Source organism: Homo sapiens, chromosome 4 (assembly GCF_000001405.40).
Source record: "Homo sapiens chromosome 4, GRCh38.p14 Primary Assembly".
Taxonomy (NCBI): domain Eukaryota; kingdom Metazoa; phylum Chordata; class Mammalia; order Primates; family Hominidae; genus Homo; species Homo sapiens.
The window spans coordinates 151568458-151590811 of NC_000004.12; the positions used below are offsets into that span (position 1 = coordinate 151568458).

The 22354-nt window shown below is 37.9% G+C and overlaps 1 protein-coding gene and 1 pseudogene across 9 annotated transcripts in view; both read left to right on the top strand.

Annotated features, from left to right (window-relative positions):
• Window positions 1–22354, top strand: part of FHIP1A (FHF complex subunit HOOK interacting protein 1A) — a 261328-nt gene that overhangs the window by 159282 nt on the left and 79692 nt on the right. For all 9 annotated transcript variants that reach the window (XM_024454201.2, XM_047416127.1, XM_011532221.3 and 6 more), the window contains 3 exons: window positions 8993–9619; window positions 18184–18342; window positions 20383–20469. In XM_024454201.2, the coding sequence (XP_024309969.1) occupies window positions 8993–9619; window positions 18184–18342; window positions 20383–20469 (873 nt within the window). The remainder of the gene's footprint in view (window positions 1–8992; window positions 9620–18183; window positions 18343–20382; window positions 20470–22354) is intronic.
• Window positions 8309–8459, top strand: RN7SKP35 (RN7SK pseudogene 35; annotated as a pseudogene).

The following is a 22354-nucleotide window of genomic DNA, read 5'->3' on the forward strand; positions in this document are numbered from 1 at the left end:
CCTACAGAGGCTCTTGAGGGCCTTTCTGTTATCTTTATGAATGAAAATGCTGGTTGAAGAAATCTATGTGAATGTAAAAGTGTTATTGTTCAATGGAGATTTACTGAGCACACACTCCAGGCATGTCGCTGTAGGCATCACACGTGGGACTTGAGAATGTATAAGCCTTGGTCTGGGCTTTAAAAAATGTATAAGCTAATTCAGATGACAATGCAAGATACATTATTACAAAATGAATAACCATGATTACAGGAATTAAGTCAAGAGAAGGGGCTATTATGGCTGGAAATGGCCTGGGAATGGAGAAAGTGAGATTTTGCTACGTTGGCTATGGAAAAGGAAGGTTTTGATGACAGACAGGAAAATAATATTTCAGAGAATGGATACTAGGAATAAATGCTCAATTTCAGCTTTTTTGGATGGTACATATAAAAGAGGGGAAGGCAAAAAAATCAGAGCCAGGCAGAGATGTGGGACCAAAAGTAAGATAAGGAATGAGATCTTCAGCTGGGGGAAATGAATGCTACTTATTTGTTGTTTTGGAGTTTCATACGTTAGCTCTTGGCTGTGAGTTGTTGGGCTGGGGTGGGTGAAGAGCAGTTGCAGAGGATTGGGAAAAGAGCTCCAGTTTGACATAAGCTCCTAGGCCTACTGTGACTGCAGCCCCTGGGTTCACCTGAGGCAACCCAAGAAAAACCTGTAAGGCTGGTAGGGAATGAGGCATAGACAAAGCTGGGAAGCATTTTATTTGCCCAGGTGTCTGTTACCTGCCCAGTGTAATGCTTTTTTAAATGTTAAATTAGCAAAAAGTGTTGGCCGGGCGCTGTGGCTCACGCCTGTAATCCCAGCACTTTGGAAGGATGAGGCGGGCACATGATGAGGTCAGGAGTTTGAGACCAACCTGGCCAACATAGAGAAACCCCATCTCTACTAAAAATACAAAAATTAGCCAGGCATGGTGGCGGGTGCCTGTAATCCCAGCTACTCAGGAGGCTGAGGCAGGAGAATCACTTGAACCCAGGAGGTGGAGGTTGCAGTGAGCCGAAATTGCGCCACTGCACTCCAGCCTGGGTGACAGAGCAAGACAATGTCTTTAAAAAAAAAAAGGAAAAAATGAAGGCAACAAAAGCCTGTGGTATCCCAAGTTCTGTATGTTAGGAGACTTAAGTATAAATTCAACATAATTAACTTGTATTTGACAGGTTCTGTTCTGCTATTTGTTAATAGCCTCTTTTCCAGAGCTTGAGTTAAAAAGCAAACATTGATGGAGGAGATCTGCTTGCCCACTTATACCTTAGAGCCTGTCAGAGGCAGCTAGTTATACAACCAGCCATCATCCAAGCAGTCTGTGATTCTGGAGAGTTGCCAGGGGAGAGACCTTAAATGGCCCAGTGGTGCACTTGAGGTTCCCAACTGCTTCTGGGTCCAGTGATCTCATGGCATCCCCAGAATCATTCTAGAGTAGACTTTCAGGAATGGTTGCATTCCAAATAGTGACACTGAAGAGTCTGGGCTGTAGAAAGTAGCCCCTGACTTCCTGTCACCTTCTGAGATGCCATTTTATGCTATAAGTTGCCAGAGCAATGAATCTCAAACCCAGATCTGTCTGGTTCATTCCTCTGGTTGAACCTTTCAGTGGCATCTGGCCACCTACAGCCCAGGATGACACACAGAATTTGTTACGTCCTGGCTTCTGTTACTCTCTGCCTCTCATTTAATCTCCAAAAATGCAAAGTTGCTTGGGGTTCCTAGCCACCCCCTCTCCTGGCAGCGTCCATCATGCTGTTTCATCCCTCTGTGCCTTAGGCACTCCTTCTTCTTTCTGCCTGAAATATTCCTCCCACTGGTTAAATGCCTGTCCTTCTACAGGCCTCATTTGAGGGATCATTTGCTCTAAGAAACCTTCCCTGCCCTCTTTCATGCTCCCACCCCATGTTCAAGCATTAACCTGAGTATTCTATCACTCTTACACCAACCACCTTTTAATTTAATTACTTATATTTTTAGAGAGAGAGTCTCTCTATGTTGCACTGGAGCGCAGTGGCTATTCACAGGTGTGATCATGGCACACTACAGCCTTGAACTCCTGGCTCAAGAGATCCTGCTCCCTCAGTCTCCCAAATAGCTGGGACTGCAGAGATGTGCCACTGCGTGTAGCCCAACCACTTTTTATTAAAATTACATATACAGTATCTTCTTCACACTCATTACGGGCTCCTCAAGATCAGAGGCCATTTGTAACTTACATCCCCATTGCCCGGAACAGAGTGTGACATATAGTAGATGTTCAATAAATGATTGAACTGAAAGGCAGTCAGTATGAAATACAAGTTTAAAAGAGCTAGGCAACTTAGGAAACAGCTTTCAACATACACTAATTTTAAAACATTGTATAATTTGTCACCGGCAAGATCTTTGGACTTGGCATTAAATGATCTGGAAGAGTGTGTGTATATACTTAATTTTTATAGTAGTCTATTAGAACAGTTTATTCTCTAGTAGACTGTTGTTTTTATCTCTTGCCTTTGTTTCTTTGTTTTTATCTGAATGGAAAAGAGGACAGAAATAGTAAGAAGCATTAGCCCACCAGGCAATAAACTATTCAACTAGACTGCCATGTGAATTAAATTCCCTACACTAGTTATTTTTGATGGCACAATTGTACTTTCTGAAGCTTCATGGACCTTGCTCTATTCATTTTCTATCTGCTCCTTTCAAGCATTGAATTCCAAAAGGTCTCTGCTCTTAGAGCCAGGAGAACAGAGGAGGTGGGTTAAAACAAATCAATTGGAAATGCACATTTCTGTCTTTGCTTCTAGTTAGTTAATAGCCCAGAATGACTTCTTTCTACCTTCAGCCTTTAAAAATAAGCTGTTTAAAAATTTTTTAGGCTAAGAAAATATCAGAGCTCAAATAAAGTAATAGTGATGGATGAGGAAAAGTCAGTGGGTTTAGTAACCTTTTTCATCTTGGAGGGGGTAGGGATGGGAAAAAACAGAACCATCTAGATTGGTTAATTAAGTCAAATGTCTTCCCACAAAAATGAAAAACAGATAATATACTTGAGTTATGGTATTTTGTGTGGAGCTCCAAGTAGCCCGAATCTAAAGTCTAGAGCATCCATGCATGGATTTGACATGTGTACTGTATTTGAGTCTCATTCCCTTGCTCTGCTCATCTCCACTCTTTTGCTCTGTGCCTTGTACTAGACTAAATGACAGAGAAAAATTAAGTAAAGCCTTTGAGAGATGAACAGTTGGGACGTATTAGAGAACTCTGATTCATTTTCTAAATATCTTAGTAAATTGATGTTTGTTAACATTTCAAAAAGTTCTCTCTCTCTTCCAAGACTTACAGGTAGCTCTAGCCTTGACAGTAGAAGGTAAAGTGAACCAAAGTTATACTTCTTAAGTTAGATGGCCGAGGCATTAACTTGCACTTCTATCAGACTCTAAAGTGGTTGAGCATGGCCGGGTGCAGTGGCTCTTGCCTGTAATCCCAGCACTTTGGGAAGCCGAGGTGGGCGGATCACCAAAGGTGAGGAGTTTGAGACCAGCCTGGCCAACATGGTGAAACACCATCTCTACTAAAATACAAAAGTTAGCCAGGTGTGGTGGCACATGCCTGTAATCCCAGCTACTTGGGAGGCTGAGGCAGGAGACTTGCTTGAACCCAGGAGGCAGAGGTTGCAGTGAGCTGAGATTGCACCATTGCACTCCAGCCTGGGTGACAGAGCGAGACTCCATCTCAAAAAATAAAAATTAAAATAGAAATACAATGCTTGAGCATGTTGAAATGTCAGCAGCTCTCTTACTGTGTGCTTGGTGGTAAGTTTGATTTTTGCTGTGGTTGAAATTAGTGTTCTTTGAAATATTATTATTTGGATCATTACTCATAAGGCCTTTCCATAACTGTTTTATCCAAGATTTAGGCAAGCCTCTGGAGCTCAGGGCTGGAGCTGACATTAAAAAACTGGTGTTAAGTGAATACGTATTATAAAGCTGTTATCTTAATATAAAAAGAAGTGACTTGGTAGAGGTCTCCCTGTGGAAACAGATGCACAAGGAACACTTCATACTGAAAGACACAGCTGTTAAGTAATGAACAAGGACTGTATGGAAACTTTTGTGTAGTTATTTGGTACATTAAGTGGAATTTGGCTTTAGATGGCTAAATCTTGCCCTTCAGTGTGTTGGAAAATATTGCATAGTAACTTGTTTTTTTCCACAATGCCACCTTATTTTAGCATTCCAAAGGATTTGGAAGTATGGGTTTTACACATATGACTTTCTTAAAATAACTAGGCTCTAACTTTGGTAGCATAAATAATTACCTACTGATACATGCATGTATGTAAGACATAGAATAATATTAAGTGGAATCAAAGCTAGTCTCCTGAGAGAGAAACACTTGTGTTTATCCTGAAGGGTAATCATTTGTAGCTGACATACAATTAAGTGATTTATGTAGAGCCTTCATTTTGAAAGCATTTGCACTTCCTGTTTAGAATTTGTGGCCATTTGAAATTCAGGCCAATTATCATTGGGTCACAGGGGCCATCATAAGGGATAAGGATAGGAGTATCTGATACTACTTAGTGAAAGAAATACGCTATTTATTAATCTTATTTAGCCCCAGTAATTCTCACATTTTTAAGTCAAATGGCTTTGAAATTAGGTTAAATTTAGCTCTATAAATTCGATATTTTTAAGAGCATTGTTCACACTGTTGATTTTTATGTGTTTCTTTCTTTTTGGAATTGTGATACTTTACATTTAGGATCAATATGTGATCAAGGCTAATGATGCATCCAAACACACACACACACACACACACATACACACACACACATGTCTGCGTTTCTTAAAGTTTGTAGATCAACAAATGTCTAGCTATGATCCGCAAAACGTTTAAGTTGCTATTTCTGATTTCAGCTGGTTTACTTAATTAATGAGCGTGGGCTTTATAAGGTGTTGAGGTGTTGATTAGTTTTTTAAATGGTATTTTCAGCCTAACAAAGTAAATTTGTTTTATAATTTGGAAATATTTGCAAAGTATATTTTGGTTGCTTTCATTCTTTTACCTGCTGAGATCCCTCTGGCCCCATTAATTTTGTTTTTTTTCTCCTGAGCTGAATCCCTGAGACTGTCTAGATAGCTGAGAAGAAGCCAGGTATGGGAAATGAGTCAAGGTTGAGAGTATAAGACAGCTGGTAATCAGGAGTAGACCAGGCCGGGGGAGCCACTGTGAGCAGCATGAAATCGTGGCATCCATAGCACTGGAAGGTAAAAGTTGGTATGTGGGTGGAACTCTCAGCAAGCAGAAATCAGGGACACAGAAATATTGGAGTTTGATGGGAGTGATATGAAAAGAGGGCACAAAAGGAAAAAATAAGGAAAAGTCCAGGTCACATCAGAGATCAGTTTATAGAAACTGAAAGAACTATGACACTATTGGAGTGACAAACTTGGGACATTGGGACAGAAGTTCTTTGGCATTTCAGTGCAAATTGTGCTCTAGTCAAGAAGCTTCTTAGGCATTCCCTGCCAACATAGGAACCAGTCCCAAGGTTGGGCCACCAGAGCCCGCTTGTAAAAGCAGGTCATGGGTGTGTCTGCCTGGAAAGGAAAAGGAGGTAGCCTGGGAAGGTCCTAAGGAGAGAGGTTAAGGACATGTGGCAACACAAGCATAATCAGCACTTTGCTGAGCCTTGTGTGTTCCATGACTCACATACATTGGTTATAACACACCCATCTTCCAGGCAGTAAAACCAGTGGGTTAGAGCTGGGTCTTCAATGTGTCTGCTCCATCTGAAGGCAGTATAAGGGAACTACTATAAAGAGGGTAAAGATGCTTCAGTTTAAAAGCTGCTAAACAGTTTGCATTCTGTATAAAAATCTTAGTTCTCTTTTTAAAGTTTTTCATAGCAAAAAGAGGTCTGTTTGTAAAGGATTGAATTGGAATAAATAATATAAATGAAAGTTAATGAGAAAAATACAATTTATGGTTATGTAAATAGACTTTTGCTGTATCTTTCATATTTGCATGCACATATATTGTATATATAAAATATAAATACATATGCATATTTATAAATTTATATTGCTTAGAAATTGCTGAGTCTTAAGAGATCTCTAATTGTTAATTGTTTTAAACTCAATGGTTTGGTCTTTTTTGGGCATTAGTACATGATTACTTTGTCTACCTTTGTTTTTATTTAAATTATGAAATTAGGTAAACTTACAGGAAGGAATAACTAATTAACCTTAAAATCTCATTTATATCTCTTTAGACTCAATCATATATCTACTTGGCAATGTATTTGCTTTTTAACTTACATTTTAATGATATAAAACGAATTTACTTAGTATTTATTTTTGATGGGTCTATTGTATGGTGATATAACATATTTTGATTCTAATTCTCTTATTCTTGACCATTTGAGTCAATAGTATTTTTTTTTTCATTATTGGAAAATTGAACATTTTTTAGCAAATTATTTTTGGGTTGTTTCCTTGGGGCATTTTCCCCAAAGTCAGATTAACAAGTCAAAGGGCAGGAACAATTTTATAGCTCCTATTACATATTGCCATATTGTTTTCCAGAAAGATTGAGCTAATTTGCCACTCCACCATCAATGTATAAAGCACAGCCCCAGTTTTAGATAGTTTAGACAGTCTGGGCACACATGAAAAGTATAATTACATTTTTACCCTGAGGCCTAGCTGTAAAGATAGCTCTCCTAAGTAAACTCAATATATGGACTTTGAAATTATAGAACTGATAAGGCATGAATTTTGTTCTTCAGAATGTGGAGGCTTGAAGTTAGGGACTTTTGGGGCTGGACCATGTGTGGTGTGGAGGTAGAGGGTCCCTTTGGACCAGTGTGGTACTGTGATTGCATTCTATTGAGATGTTGGTAAGGCCCAGAACAAAGGGATGGGAGAGAACCAGGTCCCAGTGTTGCTGCTGCTAGGAAGGTCACCAGGTGCAAGGAATCCTGGAGGGCTTGGTGGAGGTTGTAGGATAGTGGGTGCACTTTGGAGTCAGGCATGCAGCAAAGAAGAGGATGTCTAGTGGCTGTCTTGTGGCCACTAGTCAGTGGGCCAGGTACTCCCTGGGTAGGGGCTAGCCAAAGGCCTTCCTTATTAAAAATGTCAACTTAAGGGTGTTAGGGTGATTTTTTTGCCTTTGTGACACAGCATTATCAACTTTATAATGGAAGTCAATAGAGATTATACTTTCTGTGGAAATTCTTTTATTCTGTAAGGATGGACTTGCCTGGTCTATAACGATTTTTTTCCCTGTTTCTGACAAGGGAGAGACTTAGACATTTCCCTGAGAAACAAATTTCCCTCATTGCTCATGCATGCATTATCCCTTTGCCAGCTTCCCCAATGACTTGCAAAAATTCCATAACCTAAGTACTTGCACAGAACATGTAACAGCACATCATAGGACTGGACCTGGAGGGTACTGCAAAAGACACATAGATTCCATGCAATTCAGAAAGGCAAAAACGGACAAAGATAAAGTCATTGATAAATGTTTGGTTGTTTAAAAATTATCGTATGTGTATATTTTCAAGGGAGTAAATGGAATGAATATTATACCAGAAATTCTAAGTCATGAAGTTAAATGGAAGTTGAGATAACAGATTGTTTTAGTTTCCAGGTCGCAAAGTGGAAGTAAGTATCTGTTGGCAGAGAAAGGTGAGAAACCTTCAGATGCTAGCAGTGGGAAAGGAGAGAAGCTGACTAGGGCTGTGAGGTGACCTATTTAGGGATTTTTATTTAAATTGTTAATTGAGTTTTTTGTGGTAAAGTATATATAACAAAATAGGCCACCTTAACCAATTTTGTTTTTTGTTTTGTTTGAGACAGGGTCTTTCTCTGTTGCCCAGGCTGGAGTGCAATGGCACCATCAAGGCTCACTGCAGCCTCAACCTCCTGGGACTCAAATGATCCTAATACCTCAGAGTCTCAAGGCATGCACCACCACACCCAGCTAATTTTTAAAGTTATTTTGTAGAGATAGGGTCTCACTATTTTGCTCAGGCTGGTCTTGAAGTCCTAGGCTCAAGTGATCCTCCTACCTTGGCCTCCCAAAGTGCTTAATTATCAGCTCTATTTCCAAAACTTTTTAATCACTCCAAACTTTAGGAATTTGTTTCATAATTGGTTGTCTCAGAATTTTTAAGCTTAAAGAAACACAGCATTCAAACCCTTCATTTTTTAGTTTCAGTACATGCCATATGCTAGGGTTGATTCTACTAGTTGTATGTCTCTTGTTTATCAGTTTCCTTTAATCTTTTCTGTTGCTGCATGTTTGGTTGAAGAGGGCATCCATCCAAGTAGGGAAGGGAGGATATTGTTCTGTCAAGGGCATATGAGTAGCTGTGTTCCTCTGCTGAGATCTCCAAAGCAATTCTATTTGTAGGAGAACATGGGTAGTATGGTTTCCTTTTGCTTATTTAATGTATTTTAAAATTAAAAAGCAATATTATACATCAACAATCTAGAAAAAAATTTAAGAATTTGTCACGACTTTGAACATCAAAATGATTCTTTTTGCATATTTTTTTACATACGTCTTTGACATAATTATTATGCATCTAACATCTACGAATAGCTTGCTTTTTTCATCTAACATATCACTTACAGTTTCTCATTTTCCTCAGTTATGTTCATAATAAATAATCCAAAGAATGCATGTAGCTTAATTTATATAACCATACTATTTTCTTCAATATTTAGATTGTTGAAATTTATAACTGTGTAAGTAAACATCTTCAGACATCTTCTTTCTATAGTTTAACTCCTTCATTTTAGTGTTTGAGAGGGAGACACACACACACACACACAATGCCCACACATATCTTGTGGGCAGTGGCTCCTGCATTTTTGGTGACAATTTGGTAAAATCAGTGGTGATATGTTTTTGTAATTATGATAAACATCAGATGGATGACAAATGCTTGACTTGGTTACAGGTTGTGAAAATCTTGGAGAAGCACGACCCCTTGAAGAACACCCAGGCAAAATATGGGTCTATCCCTCCAGATGAGGCCAGTGCCGTGCAGAATTACGTAGAACACATGCTCTTCTTGTTGATTGAAGAGCAAGCCAAAGATGCTGCAATGGGGCCGATTCTGGAATTTGTGGTCTCTGAGAACATCATGGAGAAACTTTTCCTTTGGAGCTTGAGAAGGGAGTTTACTGATGAGACTAAAATTGAGCAGCTAAAGATGTATGAGATGTTGGTCACCCAGTCGCACCAGCCTCTGCTGCACCACAAACCCATTCTGAAGCCTCTGATGATGTTGCTGAGCTCTTGTTCAGGAACAACCACCCCCACTGTGGAGGAGAAGCTGGTTGTCCTACTCAATCAGCTCTGTTCCATTCTTGCCAAAGATCCATCCATTTTAGAACTCTTCTTCCACACTAGTGAAGACCAAGGCGCTGCCAACTTCCTCATCTTCTCCCTTCTGATTCCCTTCATTCACCGAGAGGGGTCAGTAGGCCAGCAAGCTCGGGATGCATTGCTCTTCATCATGTCTCTTTCTGCTGAGAACACCATGGTGGCCCATCACATCGTGGAGAACACCTACTTTTGTCCAGTAAGTCTCTTTCCTTGGCATGTTTTCCACTCACTCCCTTTTTTCTCTTCTGTTGCTAGTGATGAATACTTTCTTACTCCCTTTTTTTCTCCCAGTAAGTTGTACTTGGCACTTCCTATGGAAGGATGTTTAGAGGAAATCTTTGGAGGGAGCAGACGAATCTAAGTTGAGACGCTATTTGGCTGAGCAGCATCAGCTCATCATAAGCCAACAAAGGAGGCTAGATGTGTTACCATTTTTGGTTAATTTTTACTGCATTAAGAATGATTTTAGTTGTTCCAGGAGCATATCCTGAGAGATTGGTAAAACCTGTGCTTTCTGATTCTTAGCTTTTCAGGTTGATTTTGCTCCAAGGAATCATGGCATGTGATAAGACCTCCACTGCTAGTTTCACAAAGTAATTTGTTTCTCAGCAAGAAAATGACCACTAGTTTTAGTGTATTTTGTTGTCATAGGAACATGGGGGGGTGGAGTGGGAGTTCAACAGTCAGTTAGTGTGCAGGGGCCACGCTGACAACAACAAATGCTGGCAAGATGTGGAGGAGTAGAAACTCTCATTTGTTGCTGATGGGAATGCAAATTGGTACACTTACTTTGGAAGACAGTTTGGCAGTTTCTTACTAAACTAAACATACTCTTGCCATGTGGTCCAGCAATTGCACTCCTTGATATTTACCTAAAGGTGTTGAAAACTTATGTCCACCCAAAAACCTGCACATGGATGTTTATAGAAGCTTTATTTATAATTGCCAAAAACTTGGAAGCAACCAAGATGTCCTTTAGCAGGTGAATAGACAAATAAAGTGGGGATATATGCAGATAATGGAATATTTTTCAGCTAAAAAGAAATGAGCTGGTAAGCCATGAATAGATATGGTGGAACCTAAATGCTTATTACTGAGTGAAAGAAGCCAATCTGAAAAGGCTACCTACTGTATGATTCCAACTATACGACATTCTGGAAAAGGTAAAACTATGGAGACAGTAAAAAGATCATTTTTTTCCCCTGAGCATTGGGGCAGGGTGAGGGATGAATAAGCAAAGCACAGAGGAATTTTATGGCAGTCAAATTACTTTGTATGATACTAGAATGGTGGGTACATGTCAATATACATTTGTCCAAACCCATAGAATGTAAAACACTGAGTGAGCGCTCATGTAAACTATGGTTTCTGGGGTGACTATAATGTGTCACTGTGAGTTCATCAGTTGTAACAAATGTAGCACTCTGGTAGGGGATGTTGATAATCCGGGAGGCTGTGCATGTGTTGGGGCAGCGGCTATGTGGGATATCTCTGTACCTTCCTCTCAGTTTTGTCATGAACCTTAAACTGCTCTAAAGAAAACCTCTTCAAAACGGCAGTTTTGAGAGGGAGCTATACGTGGTTTGGGTTTTAGCTTATTTGAATTGTTTAATTCAATTGTGTAATTCTGCTGTTAAAGGAGAGCAGGTATTGTAACAAATCAAAATATTCAGGTGGTTCACTTGATCAGTATGCAAAAGGCAATTTAGAAAATACCATTTACAAAAGCAACATAATCATAAGATATCTTAAAATAAATCCAACAAATACATGAAAGGCCTTTATGGAGAAAATTATAAAGGGCATAAAAGATCTAAATAAATGGAAAGCTCTACAGCTTGTAGATAGTGTATAGATGAGACATTCCTGCAAATTATAAAGTTGATGCAATTTATGTTTTAAAAAGTTTTTATTATGAGAAAAAATAAAATACAGAAAACTTAAAACACTAAGATGAACACTGCACACCACCTAGATTCAAAGTTGTTAATATTTTGCCATCCTTTGGTATTTTATGCTTTTATTTGTTTTTGTTGTACCATTTGAAATTAAGTTACAGACATTAGATACTTTAGTCTGTGTTTCCTATGAATGGGGATATTCTCCCACATAACCACAATACTGTTATTGTACCTAAGAACATTATACAATAATTCCTTAATACGACTAGTATCCAGTTCTCCTACTGTGCCCCAAATTACTTCCATAGTTTTTTTCTCCCCATTTGTAGAGTCCAATAAAAGATATCCATCTAGCTATCAGGTCTCTTTAGTCTCCGTTAATATAGTAACAACCTGCCACTTTTCTTCCCCATGACATTGACTTTTTAAGAGACCAAGCCATTATCTTATAAAACACCCCACATTCTGGGTTTGTTTCTTTTGTAGTTTGACTTGTCCCTAACCCTGCATTTCCTGCAAATTGGACTTAGATCTACATGCCCAGTTAAATTTAGGTTAAATATTTTTGGCAAGGTTACTTTACAAGCGATGCTATGTACTTATTGCATTACAGCAAGGGACCTGTGTTAAGTTGTCCCACTATTGGTGATGCATTGAGATACCAGTTAATACTTATCAGAGTAGTAAGTATTAAGTGGTAACTGTGTTGTCAAGAGTGAAAAAAACAAGAACTTTTGAGAATATAAATTGGTATAGTAACTCAGGAAAGCAGTATGGCAATGTTTGGTAAAACTGAATATTTGCCTACTGTGTGATCCTGCAACTTCCCTTCTAGATATCTGGCTTGGAGAAATCTGGCACTTATTTACAAAGATACATATACAACGATGTTCAATAAAACAGTGATTTGAAAAACAGAAAAATATAAGTACGTGAAGTGAAAGATAAACTGGTTTATTCATACATCAGTGGAATACTTTTCAGCATTCAAAGTGTATGAATCATGTGTATTATCATGTAACTATATGTATGAACAGCAGTAAATCAAAAAACATGTTGAATTATTTATTTATTTATTTATTTACTTATTTATTGAGACAGAGTCTCACTCTGTCACCCAGGCTGGAGTGCAGTGGTGCGATCTCGGCTCACTGCAACCTCCGCCTCCCGGGTTCAAGTGATTCTCATGCCTCAGTCTCCCAAATAGCTGGGACTACAGGCGTGTGCCACCACGCCCAGGTAATTTTTTGTATTTTTAGTAGAGACAGAGTTTTACCATGTTGACCAGGCTGGTCTTGAACTCCTAACCTCAAGTGATCTGCCCGCCCAGCCTCCCAAAATGCTGGGATTACAGGCATGAGCCACTGCGCCCGTCCAGAGTTTACATAAAATTTTAAAACACAGAATCTTAGTGTATGCTGTTTTTTGGATACATATGTATACAGTAGAAGTACAAAATAACCACAAGGATAATAATATATGCTAAGTTCAAGACTGTGGCTTTTTGGGGGTGAAGGAAGGGAAGGGATGGTAATGAGATTGGAGTAGGGTGCAGTTCTATTTGTAATTTTTATTGTTTGAAAAAATCAGAGTGTTCTGAAGAAACACTTGGTGATGGGTTTCTATTATGTTTTATATATTTTTCATATTTCATAATTTAAAAATTTAAATATGACAAGAAGATTTCCATTTAACTGCATCATAAGCAGATTTTAGTTGAGCATTGCTTTTATAAAAACATATTTTAAAACACTGTACAGATCATTAAAGTTGGAGGGAAAACAACATCTCCAGCTGACCTTGTTTGCTAGAATGGAACACGAGCTTCATTGTGTTAAGTTGCCCCTCAGGATAGATCCCATAATCTCATTTGTACCCAGTTTTCTATAATTACATCTGACAACATAATTAAAAAAAAAGCCCTCTTTATGTTGAAGATAAAAGCATACTCTATTAACCATCCAGCTAAGGACAACAATTGAGAAAAAGGTTTCTCTAATTAGTATGATTGTCAAAGTGTGTTAGCATCAGGCTGTTGGAACAGTAATGACTCTTTCAGGAAATCGGACCACTTTTGGAAACCTTTACTGTTATAGTTGATAGGAAGAGCTTGCTGGTTCTGCTGCCTCATAGCTCAAGATGTGCTTTCCCAGGAAAAGAAGGAGATTGAAGATACTCTAGGGAACAATTTGGTGCCAACAAAAGGATGGGGACTAAATGACCCTGTCACTTTTTTTTTTAAAACCAAATATTGATGGTTAAGCCCATGCCACTGTTATATATTGGCAAATGTAGAAAACAGTGTGTACATAAATCAAGTGATGCAAATTAAAGCAAGCGACCTTTAGGTACACAGCCACAGGTAGAATGTTATTTATCCCGTATCCAAAATTTATGAGATTTTTTGTTTTAGCAAGTTGTATCAAATAGTCCCTACCAGGTGTTATGCTGCGAGCTTCAGACTAAAGCCATCTGCCAAAAATCTTTGTGTTTGCTAAAATTAACCAGATATCATTAGATGTTTAAAGTTAAACATTACTCATTCACTGCTCTGTGCATGTCATCTTTCTTTCTTTTTTTTTTTGTATGTCATCTTTCTTTCCTTCATTGGAAACATTTCTGTGCGTAAAACATTATGCTAATCTTGGTAGATGCATTATTTTCTTTAATCCTGGCAACAACTTAGTGAAGAAATGGAAATTTAGAGAACTTTAATAACTGCCTGTCAGTGGCAGATTCTGGTTCAAAACTGCATTTGTCTGATACTTAAGTCCTTGGTCTCAGCAACTGCCACACTATACTGCTGCCAGGGAAGTTGTTTGCTTTTTTGTCTGTTGTTATCCTTGTGGTTTTACATGGTGATTAGTTTCTTTTAAAGAGATTCTTGAGGGAAAATAAGTGAAAAATAAGTGCAAATAAGTGAAAAATGGGTTAATGCTTAATGTGTTGGGAATAAATAGAATGTTTTGCAATTTTTTTGTGTGTGTGGATGGGAATCCAAGAATCAATGAAAGGCTAAAATAGTGGATGGGAATTTTATTTTAAATGAGCTGTTGAATACATCTATATTTAAACTTTTAATAATTTAATTCTAAGTTAAAAAATGAAATTTAAAAGTAAATAGAATGTGCTATTCATCTCTTAACCTAGAAAAGTTAGCTACAGACCTGTTGGAATCTTTCTTTTTCCTTATCCTGTTCCCACAGCACTCCGTATCCCCTTGGGTAGTAATTATCTTTCTTGCCTGTATTAGTTTATCAGCCGTCTTCTCCATCTTTCCTGGTCCAACTTGTTCACTACTCTTTCCCCAGGACCAATCTTGCATATGTCTGACCCACAGTCTGTGTTCTAGAAATATGTGCAGTCTGGGTGAATGAATCTGAACTCTGAGCGCAGTCTAGGAAGGGAGGATATAAATACCATAAAGATTTAGAATCTTGTTTCTAAGACTATGTAATACTCTTTATTCCGCAGAATATTTTCTCCCCTGTTTCTTTGCCATTCTGAAGGAGATAGCAGAGGCACTTTTTGTAGTGGCAGGAACATGGCAGGACTTCTTATTCAGCTGTCACTTCTGTACAGACAATGTCCTTCTGTTCCGGGAGTATCCTTATGCATAGAGAGTATCCTTCTGTACAGGGACTACCTTCTGGATGGGCAGGCTTCTGCTCACATCTCAGCCATGCCCTTTCACAATATTCATTTTAAAAAGTGAATATTACATATGTGTTATTTTTAATTACTGTCACTGATGTATGTAATTTGAAAATTAATGTTGCTATAATTATATTGATATACTGAGTAGTTATTCCCAGCTTTTTAGTCAGACAAATTAAGCCTGTCTTTATGAATTCATCCTCAGAGCCTCAAAGTGGTTAAGAATTCAGGAGTATGCAGAATTAAAGCCTTTGTTCTGTGGTTAATTTAGCATGAGTTAGCAAATGTAATTGATTTAAAAAAATGTGGCATCAAGATTAGATTTCTCTTCGAGGAGAACTTTTGGTCTCTGTTCTCTTTTGCCAGAGGTTTCTAATTTATAAGAAGCAACTCATTTGGGTCACATTCAAAACTGGAATTAAAGTGATTTGTATGGGTATGTTCACTTTAAATAGGGGACATTCTCCTTTGGGACCAAAGATGCCCTGATTTTTTAAAAAGAGATAAATGTACTGTCTTGTTTACGGTTGTATTTTCCGTACTTAACATAGTACCTGGCCTGAAATAAGTGTTTGGTATTTTTTTTAATGAATAAGTAAATGAATGAATGATTAAAGGTTGCCAGGAAATAGAACAGAGAAATGTATATTATTTTTTTGATTTCTCTAGTACTGAAATGGTTCATCTGTTTGTCTTCTTGTTCTTTATACTCCACTGGGGGCTCCTATACCATCTCCCCAACCCCTCCTAGGCCCTCCCATGACTTCATATGGTCTCTCCATGTTAACATCTGAAACTCAACATACCTGACTGGACAAATCATCCATACCTCCAGTGTGGACTTGAATGAACAAGTCAGACCAGGAGAGATGGAGAAGATAGGCAATACACTAATACATGCAAGAAAGATGATTGCTACACAGAGGGATACAGAGAGTGCTGTGGGAACAGGACAAGGGGAAAAGGAAGGCAACAATAGGTCTACAGATAATTTTTTTCCAAGTTTAACATACCTAGGCCCACACCTCCTTCTGACTTTCTGTTTGTGATGCCAGGCATTGTGGATTATTTTGTCATATCTCATCTGTCTAAATCTCCCTTTCCTTCTCTGTCTGGTTCGTATGGCTTGAGGTCCCATCTACATGTTGATGGCTCCGTCTCTAGCCCAGAGCTCTCTTTTAAGCATCAGCCCCACGTATCTGAATACTGGGCTCTCCATTTGGATGCCCCACACGCTCCTCATGTTGTCCTATAAAACCCTGCAGGATCTGATTCCCGTTTACCTTGCCAGCCTCTTTCTACCTGTAATTCTGCACTCTAACAATACTGTGCTTCTCTTAGTTCCTGGAGAATACCATCTTTTCTTTCTCCTTTGAGCTTTTGTATATGCTGTTTTCTCTGCTTGGAATATTCTTCCCCCTACTCTTTTTCTGGCTAACTCCTACGTACTCTTCACCAGCTTAGATATCACTTCTTCTGAGAATATTTCCTGCTGCCAACCCTCGAAATCTGAGTAAGAGTCTTTTGTAAATCCACAACACCATATATTTTCTATTATGTATTCTGAGCATTTCTAACACTGTTTTAATTGCCCGTTAATCTCTCATTAGACAGTGAGATCAATGAGTATGTCACTATTTCTTTTCTGGGCCTGCCTCATTATATTTTCTTGAATGTTTCCATCTCATTCGAGGCCATTGTCACCTCAGGGTTTGTGCTAGAGCAAAGCCTTTTGTAGCTGGCTTTTTTTTTTCTTTCGAGGCACTCCAGCTCTGTCGGCCAGGCTGGAGTGTAGTAGGTCCAATCTCGGCTCACTGCAACCTCCGCCTCCCAGGCTCAAGGGATTCTCTTTTGCCTCAGCTTCCTGAGTAGCTGGGATTACAGCCTTGTGCCACCACACCCAGCTAAATTTTGTATTTTTAGTAAAAACGGGGTTTCGCCATGTTGGCCGGACTGGTCTCAAACTCCTGGTTCAAGTGATCCACTCACCTCAGCTCCCCAAAATGCTGGGATTACAGGCATGAGCCACCACCCCTGGCCCCATAGCTGGCTCCTTTGCATTCAATCTGTGCCATCCCTGGCCATCTTATACATATCTAGCAAGTCAGGATCTCCAAGTTGCTGCTTAGTCAGTATCACTTCCCAGCTGGGAGGCCTCCAGTACTATGAAATTCATTGCATCCCTGGTTTGATATTCCACAAGGTAAAATCAACAAGCACTCAGCATTAAGTATGTAATCTTCCTACATTTCTGTCTCTATTAAAGGCATCACCATTTTCTTGGTGACCAAGTTGGGTAAGTTGACAGTTTTGAGTTCTTACCCCACTTACCAAGCCCAAAGGCTGTCAATTTAAATTAAGGACCAGAACACTAAGGGAGGAAGCAAGCCCTAAGAGTTTTGGATTAATGCCAGACCGATAGATGTCATGGTTAGATCACCCTCATATTCACCTTCCATGTGATGCTCAAATTTTATTTCCTCCTCTCTTTTCCTAGTGCTGATGCCTCCGTGTAGACTCACTTTATCTCTGCTTGAATCTTGTCATCACATCTAACTAACTGATTGCTGACCCCCAATTCTTTCTCCTTGCTATTGCTTGTGAAGATCAAATGAGAAAATATACGTGGAAGTGCTTTGTAAACTGCAAACATGCAGCTGTCAGTCGTGACCTCAAGCATGCAAGGAATTGCATGGAATCTTTCCCATAAAGCTCATGGTTCCAATGTATGTGACTTTCTGTCCTGGACCACCTCAAAACAGGAGTTTCTCCTCTAGACTGGGGTATGTGCCTTCTCTGTATTTGCACTTGATGTATTGTACTATAGGATACTGTTTATGAATTTGTTCCTCTCCTGAACTTCTTGAGGCCAGAATAATATTTTATTCATCTTTGCGTGTACTCCTCCTACACCTAGCCCAGCATAGTGCCTGGCACATGAGAGATGAGCAACCCATACCAACCATGTGTATATTAGCCAGATAGTTCTGATATTGCCATTCCTTCTGCCAGAGTTGTCCTTCCCTACTGTCTTCACCTGTTTGCATCGTTTTTAGCTGGCTGACGGGCTCTTATACCTTTAATACCTTGCTACTTAAAGATATAGTTTTGGGACCAGCAGCATTGGCATCACCTGTGAGCTGTTAATTGCAGGTTGAGAACTTTGGAAAAGCATTTATTTTGTTTTTATTTCTGAACACAGGTACTTGCAACTGGGCTCAGTGGTCTCTACTCTTCCCTGCCTACAAAGCTAGAAGAGAAAGGCGAGGAATGGCACTGCCTTCTGAAAGATGACTGGCTTCTACTTCCTTCTCTTGTCCAGTTCATGAACTCCCTGGAGTTTTGCAATGCAGTCATACAGGTACCAGAGCACAATAAAGGATCCCTTTGCTATGGCTTCATTCAGAGCACAAGCACTGCAAAGGATTAATTTTAAAACGTTCATTTTTTAAAATGTTAATAAATGTTTATGGAATATTGGTGCTTTAAGCCAATTGAATGTCCTTGAATGAGTGAAAATGTTAGTTTGTAGGTTTCTGGAAGTTTTAACTGAGAAAAAAAATGAGTAGATTTTCTTTATCTTCTTTATAAATTAATTCTGTTTTGATTATCTACTTAACCATCAAAAATAAGTTCAATGCCTGACTCATTAAATAGATTATTTTTAGGTTTCTAAGTACTCCAGATTATACCGCTTTTACTTCAAGGTCTTCTTGGGAATTTACAAAGGAGAACACTTTATTTTGCTTAATGGCGCATACTACATAAAGAATATTGTTATCCTGATTGAATTTAGAAGAAGTTAAGCATTTTCATTGCAACACAAATTAAATTCTCTTTGAAATTGTCCTGTTTGGGAGAGGAAAAAAGCAACCACTGAATTCTTGTGTATTTGGCTTCTTGATTAGATTTTTACCTTTAGATTTGTTGTTACTGTTTTCAATAAAAATCAGATTTTAAGTATATTTAAGGATGTGGTAAGTTTTCATAAAAAATATTTTAGTTCCATATAGCATAAATATTACCTTAATATTAGATTTATTAAGAAATCAAGTTTTCTTTCTTTTTTTTTCTCGGCCTTTTTTTTTATTATTATACTTTAAGTTTTAGGATACATGTGCACAACGTGCAGGTTTGTTACATATGTATACATGTGTCATTTTGGTGTGCTGCACCCATTAACTTATCATTTAGCATTAGGTATATCTCCTAAGAAATCAAGTTTTCTTTATAGTGATTGTAGGATGAAAGATGTTAGTTATAATCTGTTTATCTACCAAATAAAGAAATAGCTTCTGGAAGAAAATACAAGTAAATTATTTTAGTTCCATCTCATTTTTATTGCTAAGTCAAAGAAAGTTTTATTTATATATAAGAAAAATGGATTACATCTTATTTTTTCCTTTAATATTGCAGTCTATCAACCTATCAACATTTTCTTGCAGAAGTTTGTGGAAATAAAAAAGATGGAACTACTATTAGTTCTTCCCCAAAAATATATACACACAGAGAGATTATCAGTAATTTGAAGATCTAGCTTCACTTTCCTAGAAATTGCTTTTTACTTTATTGTTTGACTTTCTTTCTCTTTTTCATTTTCTTCTTTTTTTAAAGAAAGAGAAATAAAGCTAATGGGCATGGTAAGAACAGGGAAATTATATTATTTCATACTGCATTTTGACATCGAAACCATATACTTTTAAGGTTTTTTGTTTGGGGAAGCTACTGAAAAGGTTATTTATGAAAGATATTAGTAGAGGGTTATCTACACTAAATATATTTTGGAAATCAAATATGAGAAGTATTGTACTTCTGATAATGTTTTCCGCTTTTGAATATTATCTATTTTTCTGAAAATATTTTTAAATGCCTTTTCTTTAATATAAATGACTATCAGGAAATACATATTTAAAATGAGGAAATGTTTTCTGCTAGCAAAATAAATGTATTTAATTGTTTTGACAGTTATACTCAGTTTTTAAAATTAGTTACAGGTTGAGATGTGATTTAGAAGAAAGTAAGGGGCAAAAATTATACTTTCCAGTTTGTTAACTTTAACAAACTGGATATGTTTAACACACTGGATATGGTATGTGTAAGTATGAATCCTTATACATACTCAGTCTATTTATTGTCTTTTTTCCAAATACGCAGTTTAAAATTACCAATATTATGTTTGAAAGTTCAACTTCTGCGGATTTTAACCAAGGTGTTTATACTGGAATAAGCTATTTGAAAGGCTTATATGACAGTATGAGGTCTGATTTGTTCTTTAATCACAGAATAAATGGCCAAAATGTGGATTTCCTTTTTGAGTTCAGGATGTACACAGAATTGTTTTATTTTAAGAACTGAAGATTGAACTCTTTGCCTTTTTCATGCCTATGTGCCTCTCTCTCAGGTGGCTCACCCCTTGATTCGAAATCAGCTTGTCAATTACATTTACAATGGATTTTTGGTACCAGTCTTGGCTCCTGCTCTCCATAAGGTCAGTGATTGGCTCATGTAATCTTCTGTCTCTATAATACAAGTGATGGACACTGAGGAGGGTAAACACAGTGTAATTGATTTGATGGTGATTTTAGCCTGATTTTTCTTTTCATTCCGTCTATATTTCTTAGCAATATCAAACACAGGTATTAAAATGGCCACAGCTTAAACTGATGGTTCTATCTGGTGTCATAGAATACAGTATTGTGAGTGTCAAGTAGGATAGTCAGCCTAAAGGAACATTGGCAGATAGACTCTGACTCTGCCTGTTTCACTTCGTGGGCAGTGGCAACTTGGAACTGTCAAGATGTTCTCCAAGGCTGAGTCTGTCATAGAGAATGCAAGGTCTGCTGTGGGCATGGAGAGGAGCAGTGGTAGCACAAGTGCCATAGATTTGCCATCTACTTAATAAAACATAATTTTTTATTGTAACAATTTTGTGACAGCAAAAATTAAAGTGGAGCCAAATTAAGGTCCCATCAAATGTTGGCTGTCTCATTAGCACAACTGAATTTCTTATGACTCTCTCATTTTGTATAATAAATCAACTGATATCTTTTCCATTGTGAGCTGTCAGGAGACACTCCTAGGCCTAGAATTCTGATTTTCTGTTTTTCCTTCACTAAGTAAAGAGACGTGTGCAGTATTTAGTTCAGGGGATCTTTGTCAAGATTTTGGAATCATACCTCTAGCAGAGACAGAAGCAAAGAGCAACTTGATCATATGTTGTTTTGATGGAATGCCCACCATTCTGCATCCTGAAGTTCAATTTCTATGGACTTTTATTTTACAGAATCCAAAAATACTTGATTATGGCAACTTTGAAACCTTGCCATCCAAGCTGATGAGGTTTCTGGTTTAGAGCAGATCTTGACAGAAGATGTTCATCCTTTACTATTTAGTGCCTCTCCAGCATAGTGGCCATGTTTTCCAAGCCAAACAGGGTACTTGGTTTGAATTGGATTTTTATGTTATTTCTAGGTTCAAGAGGTCATCTTTGATGTGGTTTAAACATAAAAATACTGAGGTTTCCATGTTATTTTAGTAGTTTATGGGCACAAAGGAACCAAGTCTGTGAAATTAGATCTCTGTTGGAAAATAAGGGATTAACTCTGGAAAATACAGAACTTGTATTTGTTTCTAGGTTAACTTTATGTTTGTCAGTATTCTGTTGTTCCAGGGATGGAATGGGTATCTTGCATTGAAGACCTCTAAGCCTCTGCATGGAAGAATTTTCCTCTTCGGAGGAACACAAGAGTGCTATAGAAATTCTTTGGCAGTAATTATCCATATATGCTCTCACACATTTAGACTTTCTTCTTCATTTATTTCCATCCTTTTCCTCAATGACCTATTGACATAAACATTTCCTGTCATTATTATAATAGTGATAATTATTATAATTACTATTTGTTCAGGAAATTTTATGTTATTATGATTAGCACACTTTAGTGTTACAGACATTAGTGATAGCTCTTTATTCATAATTGAGGATGAAAGCCACCTCAGAGAGCTGTTACGAGGATCTTACTGGTCACCACACACTACTTCTTCATATCACTTAGTACAGGTAAAGTTAAATCATTACATGTGCTATTGCTTGCTTAATGTCTTCTCCACAGTGGTATGCGTGCTTTCAGTTATGGCATATTATCACATGTGTTTTATTCACTGGGATATCTCCAATGCTGAGCACAGTACCTTAGACTTAGGAGGCTGAAGAAACAACACACAAATGGAATGCTTGTTAAAGTGCCAACAGAGTGCTGGCACTTAGTACCTTCCCAGACAGTGGTTTGTAAGAGAATAATTGCTAACATTTGATCTAGCTCTTTACATATATTATGTAATATCCTCAGTTGTGCCCATAATTAAAATATGAG